At 42.5% G+C, this 17236-nt stretch overlaps 1 protein-coding gene across 6 annotated transcripts in view; it reads left to right on the plus strand.

Moving 5' to 3' along the window:
* The window catches only part of KNTC1 (kinetochore associated 1), a 99148-nt gene extending 89888 nt beyond the window's left edge, over positions 1 to 9260 (plus strand). For all 6 annotated transcript variants that reach the window (NM_014708.6, XM_006719706.3, XM_011539027.4 and 3 more), the window contains 7 exons: positions 1207 to 1261; positions 1346 to 1409; positions 3343 to 3472; positions 4745 to 4834; positions 5326 to 5471; positions 7462 to 7552; positions 9069 to 9260. In NM_014708.6, coding sequence (NP_055523.1) covers positions 1207 to 1261; positions 1346 to 1409; positions 3343 to 3472; positions 4745 to 4834; positions 5326 to 5471; positions 7462 to 7552; positions 9069 to 9092 — 600 coding nt within the window. In that variant the 3' untranslated portion in view covers positions 9093 to 9260. The remainder of the gene's footprint in view (positions 1 to 1206; positions 1262 to 1345; positions 1410 to 3342; positions 3473 to 4744; positions 4835 to 5325; positions 5472 to 7461; positions 7553 to 9068) is intronic.

Raw genomic sequence — 17236 nt, forward strand, 5'->3', positions numbered from 1 at the left:
CTATTTTTGGTCATTATAAATAATGCTGCTATGAACATTTGTGTACAAGTTTTCACTGAACATGTTTTCATTTCTCCTGAGTATATACCTAGAAGTGGGCTTGTTGGGTCTTACAGTAACTCTATGTTTAGCCTTTTGAGGTATTTTATTATTTTTAATGCTTGATTATTCTCCAGAATATGTGGTAAAATATACCTGAAGTTACTTAACCACTCCTCTATTGATGGAAGTTTACATTTTCTTTCCTCTTTTTTTTCTTTAAATGTATAGAGATGGAGGTCTTGCTATGTTGCCTAGGCTGGTCTTAGAACTCCTGAGCTGAAACAATCCTCCTGCCTTGGCCTCCCAAAGTACTGGGATTACAGGTGTGAGCCACCGCGCCTGGCCAGTGTTCTTTCCTTATTCACCTTCTTGAAATTCTTTCTCTTGTCCCCTTCCTTCTTTCCTGTGGCCCTGGCACATAACCGGCTAAGGATTAATTTTCTTTTCTGAGTTGGGTTCTGACTTTTTGCCAAATGGAATAATGAATCAGCAAGGATTGTATAATGAGATCCTGAAAGATACAGTTATGAAGAACATTATGCTAGAACCTTAATCATCTCAAACAGGGAGATATCAGCTTATGATTTTAGTCATCTGGAATATAAACTATAAATGTACAGTTTTGTGACCATTTAACAGCGGCCTCTAGAGAGTGTTCCGTATCAGCGCATAGCGATTTATCTAATTTTTTTGTTGAGATACAATTCACTTGTAAAATTCATCCTTTTGAAAGTATACAATCAAGTAGTTTCTGCTATATTCATAAAATTGTACAACCATCACCATTATCTAATTTCAGAACATTTAGGCTGCAATTTAAAGAGAGTTCATAATACCTTTTTCGAGATGGAGTTTCGCTCTGTCACCCAGGCAACCTCCGCCTCCCGGGTTCAAGCGATTCTTGTGTCTCAGCCTCCCGAGTAGCTGGGATTACAAGCATGCACCACCATGCCTGGCTAATTTTTGTATTTTTAGTAGAGACGGGGTTTTGCCATATTGGCCAGGCTGGTTTCGAACTCCTGACCTCAAGTGATTCACCTGCTTCAGCCTTTCAAAGTGCTGGGATTATAGGTGTGAGCCACCGCGCCTGGCCTAGACTGCAAATTAAAGAGAGTTTGTAATATCCTTAACATGAATATCCCAAACGTGGACTTGTTTTCACAGGTTCCCTACTTCAGCAAAGCGTGGCAGCGTGTGATACAGATACCACTGCTTTCAGGTATTTCGCTCTCTGAAACATTGGCTACAGCATTTTATAGTTGAGTGTGTGTATATCATGGTTGTTTTTTTGTTTTGTTTTCAGCCTCTTGTCCTTTAAGTCCTGATCAGCTGTCAGATTGTTCTGAGAGTCTCATCGCTGTCCTCGAGTAAGCAAAATATTTGTTCTACCAAAAAAAAAAAAAGTTTGTTGCTTATAAGATTCCCTTCTAATAGATATCTCTAATGAGTAATTCCTTTTTGTTAGGAAGTTAAGCATAACACGTGTTTGTTGTTGTTGTTGTTGTTTTGAGATGGAGTCTTGCTCTGTCATCCAGGCTGGAGTGCAGTGGCACAACCTCGGCTCACTGCACCCTCCACCTCCCAGATTCAAGCGATTCTCCTGCCTCAGCCTCCTGAGTAGCTGGGATTACAGGCACGTGCCACCATGCCCAGCTAATTTTTGTATTTTTAGTAGAGATGGAATTTCCAAAGTGTTGGGATTACAGGCATGAGCCATCCCGTGAGTAGCTGGGATTACAGGCATACGCCACGCACCACCACGCCCGGCTATTATTTGTAATTTTATTAGAGACAGCCTCCCAAATTGCTGGGATTACAGGTGTGAGGCACTGCGCCCAGCAACACTTGTTTTGTTTTTTGTTTTTTGTTTTTTGTTTTTGTTTTGTTTTTTGTTTTTGAGACGGAGTCTTGCTCTGTCACCCAGGCTGGAGTGCAGTGGTGCGACCTCAGCTCACTGCAAGCTCCGCCTCCCAGGTTCACGCCATTCTCCCACCTCAGCCTCCTGAGTTGCTGGGATTACAGGCACGTGCCACCATGCCAGGCTAATTTTTGTATTTTTAGTAGAGATGGAATTTCCAGAGTTTTGGGATTACAGGCATGAGCCATCCCGTGAGTAGCTGGGATTACAGGCATGCGTCATGCACCACCACGCCTGGCTAATATTTGTAGTTTTAGTAGAGACAGCCTCCCAAATTGCTGGGATTACAGATGTGAGGCACTGCGCCCAGCAACACTTGTTTTGTTTTGTTTTTGAGACGGAGTCTTGCTCTGTCACCCAGGCTGGAGTGCAGTGGCGCCATCTCGGCTCACTGTAAGCCCTGCTTCCCGGGTTCACGCCGTTCTCCCGCCTCAGCCTCCTGAGTAGCTGGGACTACAGGCGCCCACCACCATGCCCGGCTAATTGTTTGTATTTTTAATAGAGACGGGGTTTCTCCGTGTTAGCCAGGATGGTCTCGATCTCCTGACCTCATGATCCACCTGCCTCGGCCTCCCAAAGTGCTGGGATTACAGGCTTCAGCCACCGCGCCCGGCCAACACTTGTTTTTATACCAAAATATCTTGATTATTTTTACAATGTCTACTTCCCATGTGTTGTGCGACTAGTAAACTGAGCATTCTCTAAAATGAGTACCTACTGTATGAGCATAGAGTACTTTTGGTGACTACCCTAAATCATACAGCGTTGTCGCATATATTTTGAGTCTTCTGGCTGGGTGCGGCGACTCACACCTGTAATCCCAGCACTTCGGGAGTCTGAGGCGAGTGGATCACTTGAGGTCAGGAGTTCGAGACCAGCCTGGCCAACGTGGTGAAACCCCGTCTCTACTAAAAATATAAAAATGAGCTGGGCATGGTGGCGCATGCCTGTAATCCCAGCTACTCAGGAAGCTGAGGAGGGAGAATCACTTGAACCCGGGAGGTGTTGGTTGCAGTGAGCTAAGATCATGCCATCGTACTCCAGCCTGGGTGACAGAGCTAGACTGTTTCTCAAAAAAAAAAAAAAAAAAGGTTTTGAGTCTTCTGAGAATTTAGAAGCCTATCTTTAGGCATCTGTAGGCTTTCAGACATAATCATGATAGCAAACAGTAGTCCGTGTTCCCATGGGTAAATTCTTTTATTCTGTGTAGAGTGCTGTCAAAGACTTGTGTTACTCATTCCTAAGCATATGTCATGCACCAGCACTTTAGTGTTTAAAATTATTGAAAACTTGGACAGGCAGATGACTATGGAAAGCTAGAAAGGCCAATATAATCTAGTGAATCTGCCAGATTATTAACTAATTAATGTTCTCTCTCGAAGATGTCCAGTCTCAGGTGATCTTGACCTGATCGGAGTCGCCAGGCAGTATATCCAGTTAGAACTTCCGGCTTTTGCATTAGCTTGTCTGATGCTCATGCCCCACTCAGAGAAAAGACACCAGCAAATTAAGGTATCGTGCACATGATTCCTCTGGGCTGCCAAGGAAATAGAAGGTTTCATCTTGCATGTCCCTTGCAAAAGGTCGCATTTTCATTTCAGCAAACCTGTAAAGCATGAATACATCAGATATGTGTGAAGCTTGTATGGGGGCTTAGTGGGAGGTAAGACTGAAAGATAGATTAAGGTCCAGCTGAGGGCTGTCTTACAAGGGGTTTGGGCCTTATTGTCTATCAGTGGGGAAACAAGTGATTATTTTAGAACAGCAAACTGAAATGATGAAGGAATTATTTTAAAAGGAATAACCCATTAACCCATGTAGGCTTGGACAGAGGAGAGGACAAGAAGTGAAACAGTTGGGAAGATGTTGCATTTGAGTAGAATTTTATCCCACTTGATCTCTTCATAGCAACCTTGTGCATAGGCAGGGAAGGCTTGAGGGTTAAGTACCCATGATAGGGTCTGGTAATGAACTTGAACAAGACAAGAAGGCTACAAGGAAGGCAGCAGACTTAGCAATTGAATGTGGGAGATAGAAGAGGGGGAGAGTCAGATTTTATGTGTGGGTGCCCATCAGAAGGAGCCACAAGCATTTTGGGGATAGAACTTTTAAAAATAACTCTCATTTCCTTTATAATAGAGAACAAGTAGAACAAAGCATTTTGGAATGTTTTACAGTTATCTTCCCTGCAGGTAGATATACCAGTAGATAGAGATCTACATAAATGAACATACATGCATTCAGGCTTTTTCGTTTGTTTGTTTTTTGTGTTTTGTTTTTTGAGAGTCTCTGTCACCCAGGCTGGAGTCCAGTGGTGCAATCTCAGCTCACTGCAGCCTCCCTCCCGGGTTCAAGTGACTCCCAAGTAGCTGACGTTACGGGCTCCTGCCACCACGCCCGGCTAACTTTTGTATTTTTAGTAGAGACAGGGTTTTGCTATGTTGGCCAGGCAGGTCTCGAACTCCTGACCTGAGGCAATCCGCTGGCCTTGGCCTCCCAAAGTGTTGGGATTATAGGCATGAGCCACTGCGCCCAGCTGAACATGCATATTTTTTATTTGTCATTTGGCTTATTAATTACATTTTTAAAAGCCATCTGTTCTTGTCTTTGACTTTTTCCCCTCTTTTCATCATTCATACACTCATTCCTTGATGTCGTTCAGTGTTTCAGTATTTAAATAGATTTCTTTTGGCACTTAGAAGAGCAAAATACCTGATCAACGGCTCTTGCTGTTGGAATAAATAATAACAATTTTCTATTAATTCTGCTTTGATTTTTCTCTAGAATTTTCTGGGTTCCTGTGACCCTCAGGTTATTTTAAAGCAATTGGAAGAGCATATGAACACGGGCCAGCTAGCAGGATTTTCACATCAAGTAAGAGGCGATTTCATCTCCTTTTTGCTATGAAAATGTTGATACTAGAAGGTAGTCATTTTCCCAAACCAAGAGTAAGCTGAAAACTGCTATGTCTAGCTGTTTGTTTATGTATAGAATTATTTTGCTTTTACTAAAACCTCAGTAAATTTTTTAAGAGGCAGGGACCCTGAGCGTCTTGTTGACTGCTGTACTCCATGGAAAATTTGTAGCCTTAAGTGCTTTTAATTGAAAACAGATCTTCTTCCTCATAAAAAGTCTCAAAGTGCACAACAACAATTACTTTATTTATTGACTGATGCTGACAGGCCTCCTTTCCCTTTTTACCCCCTCAAAAAGGAGGCGCAGTCACAATGCAGTGCTAATTGGGCTTCCGATTGTCAGAAATGTTTTGATATTGAATAAAGGCTTGATACCTGTCATTCTATAGATTAGAAGTCTGATTCTAATAGATTAGAAGTCTGATCTTAATGATACCTGTCATTCTATAGATTAGAAGTCTGATTTTGAATAATATCATCAATAAGAAGGAGTTTGGGATTTTGGCAAAGACCAAATACTTTCAAATGTTGAAGATGCATGCGATGAATACCAACAATATCACTGAGCTAGTGAACTATTTGGCAAATGACTTAAGGTAAGTTAATTAAAAAAAAAAAAACTTACTGTGGAATTTCCTTAAAATCTATCTTTATAAGCTGGGCACGATGGCTCACGACTGTAATCCTAGCACTTTGGGAAGCTGAGGTGGGTGGATCACCTGAGGTTGAGAGTTCAAAACCAGCCTGACCAACATGGAGAAACCCTGTCTCTACTAAAAATACAAAATTAGCCGGGCATGGTGGCACATACCTGTAATCCCAGCTACTAGGGAGGATAAGGCAGGAGAATCTCTTCAACCCGGGAGGCAGAGGTTGCAGTGAGCCGAGATCGCACCATTGCACTCCAGCCTGGGCAACAGGAGCGAAACTCTGTCTCAAAAAAAAAAAAATCTATCTTTATGTTGGAGCAGAATGTCAACTGTAGAGCTATTTGGTTGTAATTAAAAGCTCAAAATATTACATCTCTCATTACTGCACATATCCAAAAGTTAATCATTTAATAACCCAATTTCTTGGAATATGACCTTAGAATCTGACAATTAAACAGGTCATCTGAACCCCCAAATCAAGTGTCTCACAGCCCTGTTCTAAATCCTACATTACAATTTTATGTCTAGACACTTGCTCAGAACATTAATGACTTTATGTAGCATCACTTTTGTTAAACCTGGTTATCTAATTTTCCAGCACCCACAAGTTTAGAAACAATAAGCTTCTTGGGATAGAGCTGGGGGTGGATATGGAAACTGAACGGGAGAAGGAAGAAGTGGGCTGACACTAAAGAAAGGGAAGTTCAAGACCGCAGTACACACCAGATCCATCCCTGCATGTGGTCTAGCCATGTTGGCGCTTGAGAGGTCTTTCTTTCTCATTACCACTCCATGGATTTCCATCTGCTTGTTTATCTCTTGTGATCCAGCCATAATTAGATATTGTCATTTTTGAGCAAGTATTTTTTGAGTTATAATTGATACATATAATAAGCTGGACATACTTGAAGTCTGCAATTTAGTAAATTTTGACATATGTATACCTATAAAGCCATCACCACAATCAAGAGAGTGAACATAATTCTCTGAAAGTTTCCTCATGCCCTCTGTGAAGTTGATTACATGAATTAGGTCATTCTTGTGATACCCAAATTCATCAGAGTCGAGGGGCCCAGGGGAAAAGCACTCAGAGTACAAAACATTGCTCCAAAAACATAATTCTGGCCGGGCGCAGTGGCTTACTCCTGTAATCCCAGCACTTTGGGAGGCCGAGGCGGGTGGATCACCTGAGGTTAGGAGTTCAAGACCAGCCTGGCCAACATGATGAAACCCTGTCTCTACTAAAAATACAAAAAGTTAGCCGAGCATGGTGGCGCATGCCTGTAATCCCAGCTACTCGGGAGGCTAAGGCAGGAGAATCGCTTGAACCCAGGAGGTGGAGGTTGCAGTGAGCCGAGATCGCACCATTGCACTCCAGCCTGTGCAACAAGAGTGAAACTCTGTCTCACAAAAAAGAAAAAAAAGAACAATGTGTAACATGTCTCTTTTTCATAAAACCTCTAACCTTCTCTTTGTTCTTTGGACAATCCAGAGACTACCCAGTCTATGTATATGCCCCAAATTGGAATTATTTCTTCCCAAATAAAACATTAAATTCAGAGATTGGTCTTTACATTTTAATTTTGACTTCAATGCCTCTTTTTCTTTTCTTTTCTTTTCTTTTTGAAATAGGGTCTTGCTTTGTCACCCAGGCTGGAGTGCAGTGGTACAAACGTGGCTCACTGCTGCCCCAACCTCCTGGGTTCAAGCGATCCTCCTACCTCAGTCTCCAGAGTAGCTGGGACTACAAGTGTGCAACACCACACCTGGCTAATTTTATATTTTTTGTAGAGACAGGGCTTTGCCATGTTGCCCAGGCTAGTCTCAAACTCCTGGACCCAAGCCATCTGTACATCTTGGCCTCCCTGAGTGCCGGGATTGTAGGCACAAGGCACTGTGCTTGGCCTAACACTTCTTTTTCTTTTTGATTTTGTAGTTTAGATGAAGCTTCAGTCTTGATAACTGAATATTCAAAGCACTGCGGGAAACCTGTGCCTCCAGACACTGCTCCCTGTGAAATTCTGAAGGTAAAGCTGATGGAAAGTTCTTAGGTTCTAACTTGACATTGTTTATATTCCTAGGGCCTTAAAATTGACAAGCCTTTTCTAGTGTTCTGGAGATAAATGTATTTTTATGTGTAACTGTAATTTTTATATTTTACTTTTTGTGTTAGAGAGTTCTAAACTAGAAATCAAGAGACCACAGTTCTAATCTCAGCCCTGCCACTGGGCAGCAAAGCCTAATGTGGGCTTAGTCTTCAGATCTGGACCCCATGGTCTCTCAGGTGCTTTCCAGCATTACCATTCCTCATAAGGTGGTGTTTTTAATATTGAAGCAGGTGAAAAACTGAATTCTAAAAGGTGTTGATTATTGTCATGCTTGGGTATTAATTGCTTTTTAAATTAATTATTATTCTTTAATTACCTAAAACGTATATTCACTGCAGAAAAAAAAGAAGTATGGCTGGGCACGGTGGCTCACACCTGTAATCCCAGCACTTTGGGAGGCCAAGGGGCAGATTACCTGAGGCCAGGAGTTCAAGACCAGCCTGGCCAACATGGTGAAACCCCGTCTCTACTAAAAATACAAAAATTAGCCAGGCGTGGTGGCACACGCCTGTAATCCCAGCTACTCGGGAGGCTGAGGCAGGAGAATTGCTTGAGCCCGGGATACGGAGGTTGCAGTGAGCTGAGGTCATGCCACTGCACCCCAACCTGGCTGACAGAGCAAGACTCTGTCTCCAAAAAAAAAATATATTAGCCTGGCATGGTGGTGGGAGCCTGTAATCCCAGCTACTAGGGAAGCTGAGGCAGGAGAATTGCTTGAACCCAGGAGTCAGAGGTTGCAGTGAGCCAAGATCACACCATTGTACCCCAGCCTGGGCGACAAGAGCAAAACTCATCTCAAAAAATCAAAACAAAACAAAACAAAAAAAAAAAACAAAGGAAAAAGAGAAATATGAAAGAGCCAAAAGAAAGAGAAAAATACTAAACTGATCTTCAAAATCTCACTACCCAGACATAGGATCACTGTTAACATTTTGCTGTACATTCTTCCAAATTTTTTGTATGTAAAATGTGCACATAATTTATTTTTACTCCCATTTTGAACTTAAGTGCCAGGTAAAATTTTTACTTTGATCATATTTTGGTAGCTTTATTTTTTATTTGCTGTTTTTCAGATCGGAATATTTTGGTAGCTTTAGTAAACCTAAGTATCGTGGCTTTTTTCTTCCTTTGGTCCAGATCAGGCATATTAGAATGAGCCCGCATTTTGTTACCGCCCATTAATAACTTACAGGGCTTACCTCCAGGTGGTTGTGCTCAATGCCATAAGATTACTTTTTTTTTCAGAAGGGGAGAGTATTGATTCGGGAGATAAATTTGTGGCGTTTAAAATCTGTTTCTCTCTAATCTAAAATGCCAAATAGTTTGATATGTAGATTTGTATCACTTCACTTAAGTTCTGTAGTTTATCTGACCATTTTCAATTTGAAAAACTAAGTGACTTATAAAAATCACTTCTGTGTTTCTTCCCATTTAGATGTTTCTTAGTGGATTATCGTAAATCACTGAACCTTTTTTTCAAGAAGGACAAGAATTTTGGAGTCTGCTATTAATGGACCATATTTATTACAGTTTTTAAATTGTACAATCTCTGTATTATAGCTATTTGTCTAACATTACCCCACATGTAATAAATAAAACAATATGAGCATAATTGCCCCATAAAGAACTCATGTCCTGAATTAATAAGTCTTTTCATTGCCAGTCACTTGTGCAATTTATAGAGACTATCAACTTTTTTGCACCATATATGAAGGAAACAAAGTGCAAAAAGTTTGCTCTCTCCCTTAAGAAAATTGAGTGCTTATAGCCTATGTCTTCCATATAAAAAAGTAAGAATATCAGTCTTTTTAATGTTATTCTAAGAAAATATTGGTATAATTTTAGTGGCAGAGTTTATCAGTCAGAAAAATAAAAGCCACTCTAGATATGCCAAGCAGAGAAGAATTTCATGCCAGGGATTGGCTATAAAGTTCTTCAAAAGACTGAAAGAACAGAAGGGAGGTAGAAGCGGGAGCCAGACAAAAGGGAAGAAGGGCTTTGCAGCCACAGATCAGGAGCTGCTCCGGCCCTTGGCTTGGAGCCCCGAGCCCACATTTGCCACTGAGCTGTCGGAGCTGCTGTGGCCACTGCAGTGCTCAGAAGCCCAGGAGTCTCTTTGCCAGTGCTGCTGACAACTTAACACTGCTGCTGTCCAGGCTGCCAAGCCCACCACCAAAAGAAGAAACATCTCTGCACTTTCTCCAAGCTTCTAATTTTTACCCCAGTGCCAAGAAATAGCAGAACCAAACTGGAAGCCACCTGGCTAGAAGTCTGGGAGGAGTGGTCCGCAACTGTAAACCCCCAGCACTGCAGCCGGTGGCCTAGAAAGGCGTGTGGAGCAAAAAGCCAGCACACAGAAGTGTTAATTACACCTGTTATTCTGACTTTGTAGTCCTTTGCCATACTTGCGAATAACTTAAGTGAATTTGATGTTACTGGAATTAGTTTGCCTTTATTTTGCCAGTTGAAAAAAAAGATTTCTAAAAAACTCAATGAAACATGATTCAACACAGGTTTCGAAGTAAAATAAGTCTGGATTTGAGTTCTAGTTCTATCACTTACTAGCTGTGTGGGCCTGAACAAGTTATTTAATTTCCCACAGAGAGAAACAGGGTGGTGTTGCTGTCACCCAGGCTGGAGTGTAGTGTTATGACCATAGCTCACTGCAACCCTGAACCCCTGTGCTTAAGGGATCCTCCTGCTTCAGCCTCCCGAGTATCTGGGACTACAGGCACACACCACCATGCTTTCCTGATTTTTAAATTTTTTTGTAGAGATAAGGTCTTGCTTTCTTGCCCAGGCTGGTCTTGAACTCTAGGCCTCAAGTAATCCTCCCACCTTGGCCTCCCTAAGTACTGGTATGACAGGCATGAGCCACCTTGCTTGGCCCAATTTCTCACCATCTTAATTCCCTCAAACTGAGGACAGTAAAAGTATCTACCTTCTAGTGGCAGGAGGTTTGAATCAGTTCGTATAAAGCATCTAGGCCAGGCACGGTGGCTCACGCCTATAATCCCAGCACTTTGGGAGACCATGGTGGGCAGATCATGAGGTCTGGAGATCGAGACCATCCTGGCTAACATGGTGAAACCCCATCTCTCCTAAAAATACAAAAAATTAGCCAGGCGTGGTGATGCATGCCTGTAATCCCAGCTTCTCAGGGGGCTGAGGTGGGAGAATCACTTGAACCCAGCAGGCAGAGGTTGCAGTGAGCAGAGATCATGCCACTGCACTCCAGCCTGGATGATAGGGCAAGGGCAAGACTCTGTCTAAAAAGAAAAAAAAAAAAAAAATGCGTCTAGCACAGTACCCGAGTGCCAAAAATGCTAGTTATTACGAGTATATAGGCTTCTATTTAGCTAATTGCAAGTTTTTAAATTGCAGTTTCAATAATAAAATTATTTTACACTTTGAAGGTGTTATACTGTTTCTCCACAATAATTAGTTTAAAAATGCAAGTTACTTAATTTGCAATGATATTTTAATGACGTTTGACCTATATTTAAAACATTGTCCAATAACTATTTACATAGGTCTTAGACAGACTTCTAAAGATCATATCATAACAAATAAGAATAGTTGGGCTGGCCGGGCATGGTGGCTCACTCCTGTAATCCCAGCACTTTGGGAGGCTGAGGCAGGTGGATCACCTGAGGTCAGGAGTTCGAGACCAGCCTGGCCAACATGGTGAAACCCCGTCTCTACTAAAAGTACAAAAAATAGCCAGGTGTGGTGGCAGGCACCTGTAATCCCAGCTACTTGGGAGGCTGAGGCAGGAGAATTGCTTGAACCCAGGAGGTGGATGCTTCAGTGAGCCAAGATCAAGCCACTATACTCCAGCCTGGGCAACAGAGTGAGACTCCATCTCAAAAAAAAAAAAAAAATAGCTGGGCTGGGCATGGTGGCTCATACCTGTAATCCCAGCACTTAGGGAGGACTAAGTTAGCGGATTGCTTAAGCCCAGGAGTTCGAGACCAGACTGGGCAACATAGTGAAACCTTGTCTCTACTAAAAACTAAAAAACAACAACAAAAAAATTGACCTGGCATGGTGGTGTGCGCCTGAAGTCACAGCTACTTGGGAGGCTGAAGTGGGAGGATGGCTTGAGGCCAGGAGGCAGAGATTGCAGTGAGCCAAGATTGTGCCACTGCACTCCAGCCTGGGTGACAGTGAACCCCTGTCTCAAAATAAAAATAATAATACAAATAAATACACCATAGAAAAAAATACAAAGGGCTTTTTTCCTCCCCACTAGAGATGGAGTCTTGCTCTATCACCCAGGCTGGAGTGCAGTGAAGCAATCATAGCTCACTGCAGCCTCAAACTCCTGAGCTCAAGCAATCCTGTTGCCTCAGCCTCTTGAGTAGCTGGGACCATACAGGTGCATGTCACCACACTCAGCCAATTTTTTTTTTTTTTTTTGTAGAGCTAGGACCTTGGTATGCTGCCCAGGCTGGTCTCAAACTCCTGGCCTCAGGCAATCTTCCTGAGTTGCTGGGATTAGAGATGTGAACCACTGTGCATGGCCCAAAGGGCTTTGGAACATGTGAAAAGAAAACCTCCCTAATGCTAATAAAAATGCAAATTAAAACTACCTTAGATTCCATTTTTTACTTGCCAGAATGGCAAAAATTAAAGTTTGATAACTGGACAAAATTATCAGAAAATTTATTCTCATATCTTGGTGGAAATTTAAATTTGTATAAGTTCTTTGGAGGACAATTTGACAATCTCTTCAAAATTACAAATATGCATACCTTTTGACCCAACTATTCCACTTCTAGGAACACACACTTGTAAGTTACTCACTATGCCATTATTCTCGGAGGAAACGTTTGGAAACAACCAAAGTACTCATCAGGAGGGGAATGTAGGCCTGGCATGATGGCTCACACCTGTTACCATAGGACTTTGGGAGGCCAAGGTGGAAGGATCACTTGAGGCCAGGAGTTTGAAACCAGTCTGGACAACATAGTAAGACCTCATCTCTACAAAGAAAAAAATTTTTTTAAAGAAGGGAATGGGCTAACTGCATGTGGCCATATACAGAATGAGGAAGTACTCAGTCCTTCTATACAAGTTTCTGGACAGACTGGCATCCTTTATTAGCCCCCCTAAAATGTGTTGGAAGACAAAATTTAGATAATGGAAGTACCTGCCTTGATTGATTGACTTAATGTAGACGGAGTCTCACTATGTTGCCCAAGCTGGCCTTGAACTCCTGAGCTCAAGCAGTCCTCCCACCTCAGCCTCCTGAGTAGCTGTCTATGATTTTATTTTTATTTATTTATTTACATATCATTTATTTATTTATTTTTGAGACAGAATCTCCTTCACCCAGGCTGAGTACAGTGGCAAAATTTTGGCTCACTGCAACCTCCGCCTTCTGGGTTCAAGTGCTTCTCGTGCCTCAGCATCTCAAGTAGCTGGGATTACAAACACACCACCATGCCTGGCTAATTTTTGTATTTTAGTAGAAACGGCATTTCACCACGTTGCCCAGGCTCATCTTGAACTCCTGAGTTCAAGCCATCTGTCCGCCTCAGCCTCCCAAAGTGCTGGGATTACAGACGTGAGCCACCGTGCCTAGCCTATGTTTAAATGAGGAAAACATGTTCTTGGCCCATCCAGAAACCCCAACCAGTCTTCCAGATACCACTAAAACAAAACATTTAACATGCCACCAACAGTTTGCAGAATAAAACCTGATTTTTTTAATGCCTGTAAATTCAATATTGGATAAGTTCATATCATAAAAAAACAAAATTAGACTGCCTATCCACATTCAATTTTCTTTCACCCCAATAAATGTATATTGTAATTGAACAGTGAAATAACTTGGCCGGACATGGTGGCTCACACCTGTGATCTCAGCACTTTGGGAGGCTGAGGTGAATGGATAACCTGAGGTCAGGAGTTTGAGACCAGCCTGGCCAACATGGTGAAACTCAGTTAAAATACAAAATTAGCCGGACGTGGTGGCGCACCTATAATCCCAGCTACTCGGAGGCTAAGGCAGGAGAATCACTTGAACCTGGGAGGCGGAGGTTGCAGTGAGCTGAGATTGCACCATTGCACTCCAGCCTGGGCAACAAAGTGAAACTCCATCTCAAAAAAAAAAAAAAAAAAAAGTCAAGAGGCATGATGCTCAGCCCCAAAAGAAAAATAAACAAAAAGATGCATGATGGTTGCAAAGAGCACTTATATATAAAATGAGGCACAACTTTATTTATTTATTTATTTATTTATTTTTAGACAGAGTCTTGCTCTGTCACCCAGGCTGGAATGCAGTGGGATGATCTCAGCTCACTGCAACCTCCACCTCCCAGGTTCAAGCGATTGTCCTGCCTCAGCCTCCCGAGTAGCTGGGATTACAGGCATGCGCCACCATACCCAGCTAAGTTTTGTATTTTCAGTAGAGACAGGGTTTCACCATGTTGGCCAGGCTGGTTTCAAACTGCGGACCTGAAGTGATCCACCCCGACTTCAGCCTCCCAAAGCCCTGGGATTATAGGTGTGAGCCAGTGCGCCTGGCTAAAATGATGCAAAACTTTAAATCACACAGCAGAACTTCTGCCATACTCAGTTGAGATAGTCAAAGCCCACCCAGAATCAAGGGGAGGAGGCATAGCCCCCCACATCATAGTGGAAGAAGCATAAGAATTTGTGGCCATTAAAAAAAAATTGGTTTTATTGTGGCAAAATACATATAATATTTACCATCTTCACCATTTTTAGGTGTACAGTTCAGTGGTATGTGGCCATTTTTTAAAAATCACAAAGTTTTTAAAAAGCAAGATGTGCGAAATAGTGTGTATAAATACACACAATCTATTTGTAGATCTTTCGATCTTCAAATGTGAAACACTTATAACAGCCACCTACTCCCGAGCTCCTCAGTTATGTCTTATCAAAACGTAAAGTGTTTTTCTCACTGATTGCACATTGAAGTATTAGCCCCAGAAGAGATATAAAAAGATTTTCTTTTTTTTTGAGACGGAGTCTTGCTCTGTCGCCCAGGCTGGAGTGCAGTGGTGCGATCTCGGCTCACTGCAAGCTCCACCTCCCGGGTTCATGCCATTCTCCCGCCTCAGCCTCCCAAGTAGCTGGGACTACAGGTGCCTGCCGCCATGCCCGGCTAATTTTTTGTTTTTGTATTTTTAGTAGAGATGGGGTTTCACCGTGTTAGCCGTGTTAACCAAGATGGTCTCAATCTCCTGACCTCGTGATCTGCCTGCCTTGGCCTCCCAAAGTGCTGGGATTACAGGCGTGGGCCACTGTGCCTGGCCCATAAAAACATTTTCTATGTATAATTTGCATATTTTGGAGTTTGTTTTGAAACAATGGCTACAAGTCCCCTGTAAAATTACCAGTCTACAAGAATACAGTTTAAGTGCCTAGTTTTGTTAAGTAGTGAATCTATTAGAAATCAACTGAAGGCCGGGCACGGTGGCTCACGCCTGTAATCCCAGCACTTTGGGAGGCCAAGGCGGGTGGATCACTTGAGGTCAGGAGTTCAAGACCAGCCTGGCCAACATAATGAAACCCTGTCTGTGCTAAAAATACAAAAATTAGCCGGGCGTGGTGGCAGCCGCCTGTAATCCCAGCTACTCAGGAGGCTGAGGCAGGAGAATTGCTTGAACCCAGGTGGCCTGGGCAACAGCAAGACTATCTCAAAAAAAAAAAAAAAAAAAAAAAAACAGTTGACTGTCAAGTCAATCCGAAAGAACCTGAGTACCGACTAGGCACATAGCACTATTCTAGGTTCTTTGGAGAATACTAGTAGAACACGCAGTCTTTGCAATTGCAATAAGAAGAATAAAAATTTACATAGGAGTAAATGCCAAGTCCCTGGTCTTTGTCTAATCGACAAACTTTGCTGTCTATTGGAATCTATGCTGCATATTCAGATGATGTGGGGATTTTTTTTTTTTAAGACAGAGTTTCACTCTTTTTGCCCAGGCTAGAGTGCAATGGCGTGATCTTGGCTAACTGCAACCTCTGCCTCCTGGGTTAAAGTGATTCTCCTGCCTCAGCTTCCTAGGTAGTGGTGATTACAGGCACTCACCACCATGCCCAGGTAATTTTTGTATTTTTAGTAAAGACGGAGTTTCATCACCATGTTGGTCAGGCTGGTCTCGGATTCTTGACCTCAGGTGATCCACCCACCTCGGCCTCCCAAAGTGCTGGGAGTACAGGTGTAAGCCACCATGCCCGGCCCACCTGGGGATATTTTTAAAATCCCAGTGCCCAGGTCACACCCATACCAGTTATATAAGACTCTGGGGTCTTGGAGTTAGGTTTTAGTAATTTTTTCAAACTTCCCAGGTGTTTTATACAAATCACCTGGGGAACTTCCTTAAATTTCAGATTTGGATTCACAGATCTGGGTTGGGGTCCAAATTCTGCAATTCTTTTATTTTTTTAACAGGATCTGGCTATGTTGCCCAGGCTGGAGTGCAGTGGCCATTCACAGGCCTCCCAGGTAGCTGGGCCTAGAGGCCTGTGCCCAGCCAGATTCTGCATTTCTAACAAGCATCAGGTGATACCAACCCTGCTTGTTCACTGATCACACTTAAAGTAACAAGGGTCTAGACTAGGGGTCAGCAAATAATGGCCCATGGTGACCAAATCATAATTTTTACCTTCTTAAAGGGTTTTAAAAAAAATCCAAACAATAGTAAAAGAATTGTGGCATTAGTTAAAATTCAGATGTCAGTGTTCATGAATAAAATTTTGTTAGGATGAAGCCAGGCTTGTTTGTTTACATATTATCTGGGGCTGCTTCACCCATCAGTGACAGGGTTGAGTAGTTTCAGTAGGGACTGATATGGTTTGGCTATATGTCCCCACCCAAATCTCATGTTGAATTGTAATCCCCAGTGCTGGGAGAGGGACCTGGTGGGAGATGATTGGATCATGGGGGCAGTTTATCCCTTGCTGATCTCACAATAGTGAGTTTTCACCAGATCTTTTTGCTTAAAAGTGTATACTCTTGCTGCTCTCCCTCTCCTGCTCCACCATGTGAGGAAGGTGTTTGCTTCCCCTTTGCCTTCTGCCATGATTGTAAGTTTCCTGAAGTCTCCCAGTCATGCTTCCTGTTAAGCCTGCGGAACTGTGAGTCCATTAAACCTTTTTTCTTCATAAATTTTCCAGTCTCAGGTGGGTCTTTATAGCAGTGTGAGAATGGACTATGCAGAGACCATACGGCTGGCAAAGCTAAAGTATTTCTTTATCTGGCTCTTGACAGATAAAGAAAAGTTGCTTCCCCTTGGTCTACAGAAGCACTGTCCAGTAGAAATATCATGCAAGTACATTTGATGCTTTAAATTTTCTAGTAGACACATTATGCTTTAAGGGTTAATTCCAGGCCTGCTGGAATTAATCTGATCTGTTTTGCTAAAGTTTTTGCAAGGCACTGTCCTGGTCAAGGCATGAAACACAGTGATTAAGGAAACATAGGGATTATAGTGCTGCCTTGTAGCCAGGGGTTTGAAGAGCTTGGGGGTGGTTTGTATCAGCCTGTCACCATTATTTATAACAATTAAATTGATTATTTGCTCCTGGTCTTGGTGAGACCAACTCCACTAAGAACGTCCTGCT

Source organism: Homo sapiens, chromosome 12, assembly GCF_000001405.40.
Source record: "Homo sapiens chromosome 12, GRCh38.p14 Primary Assembly".
Taxonomy (NCBI): Eukaryota; Metazoa; Chordata; class Mammalia; order Primates; family Hominidae; genus Homo; species Homo sapiens.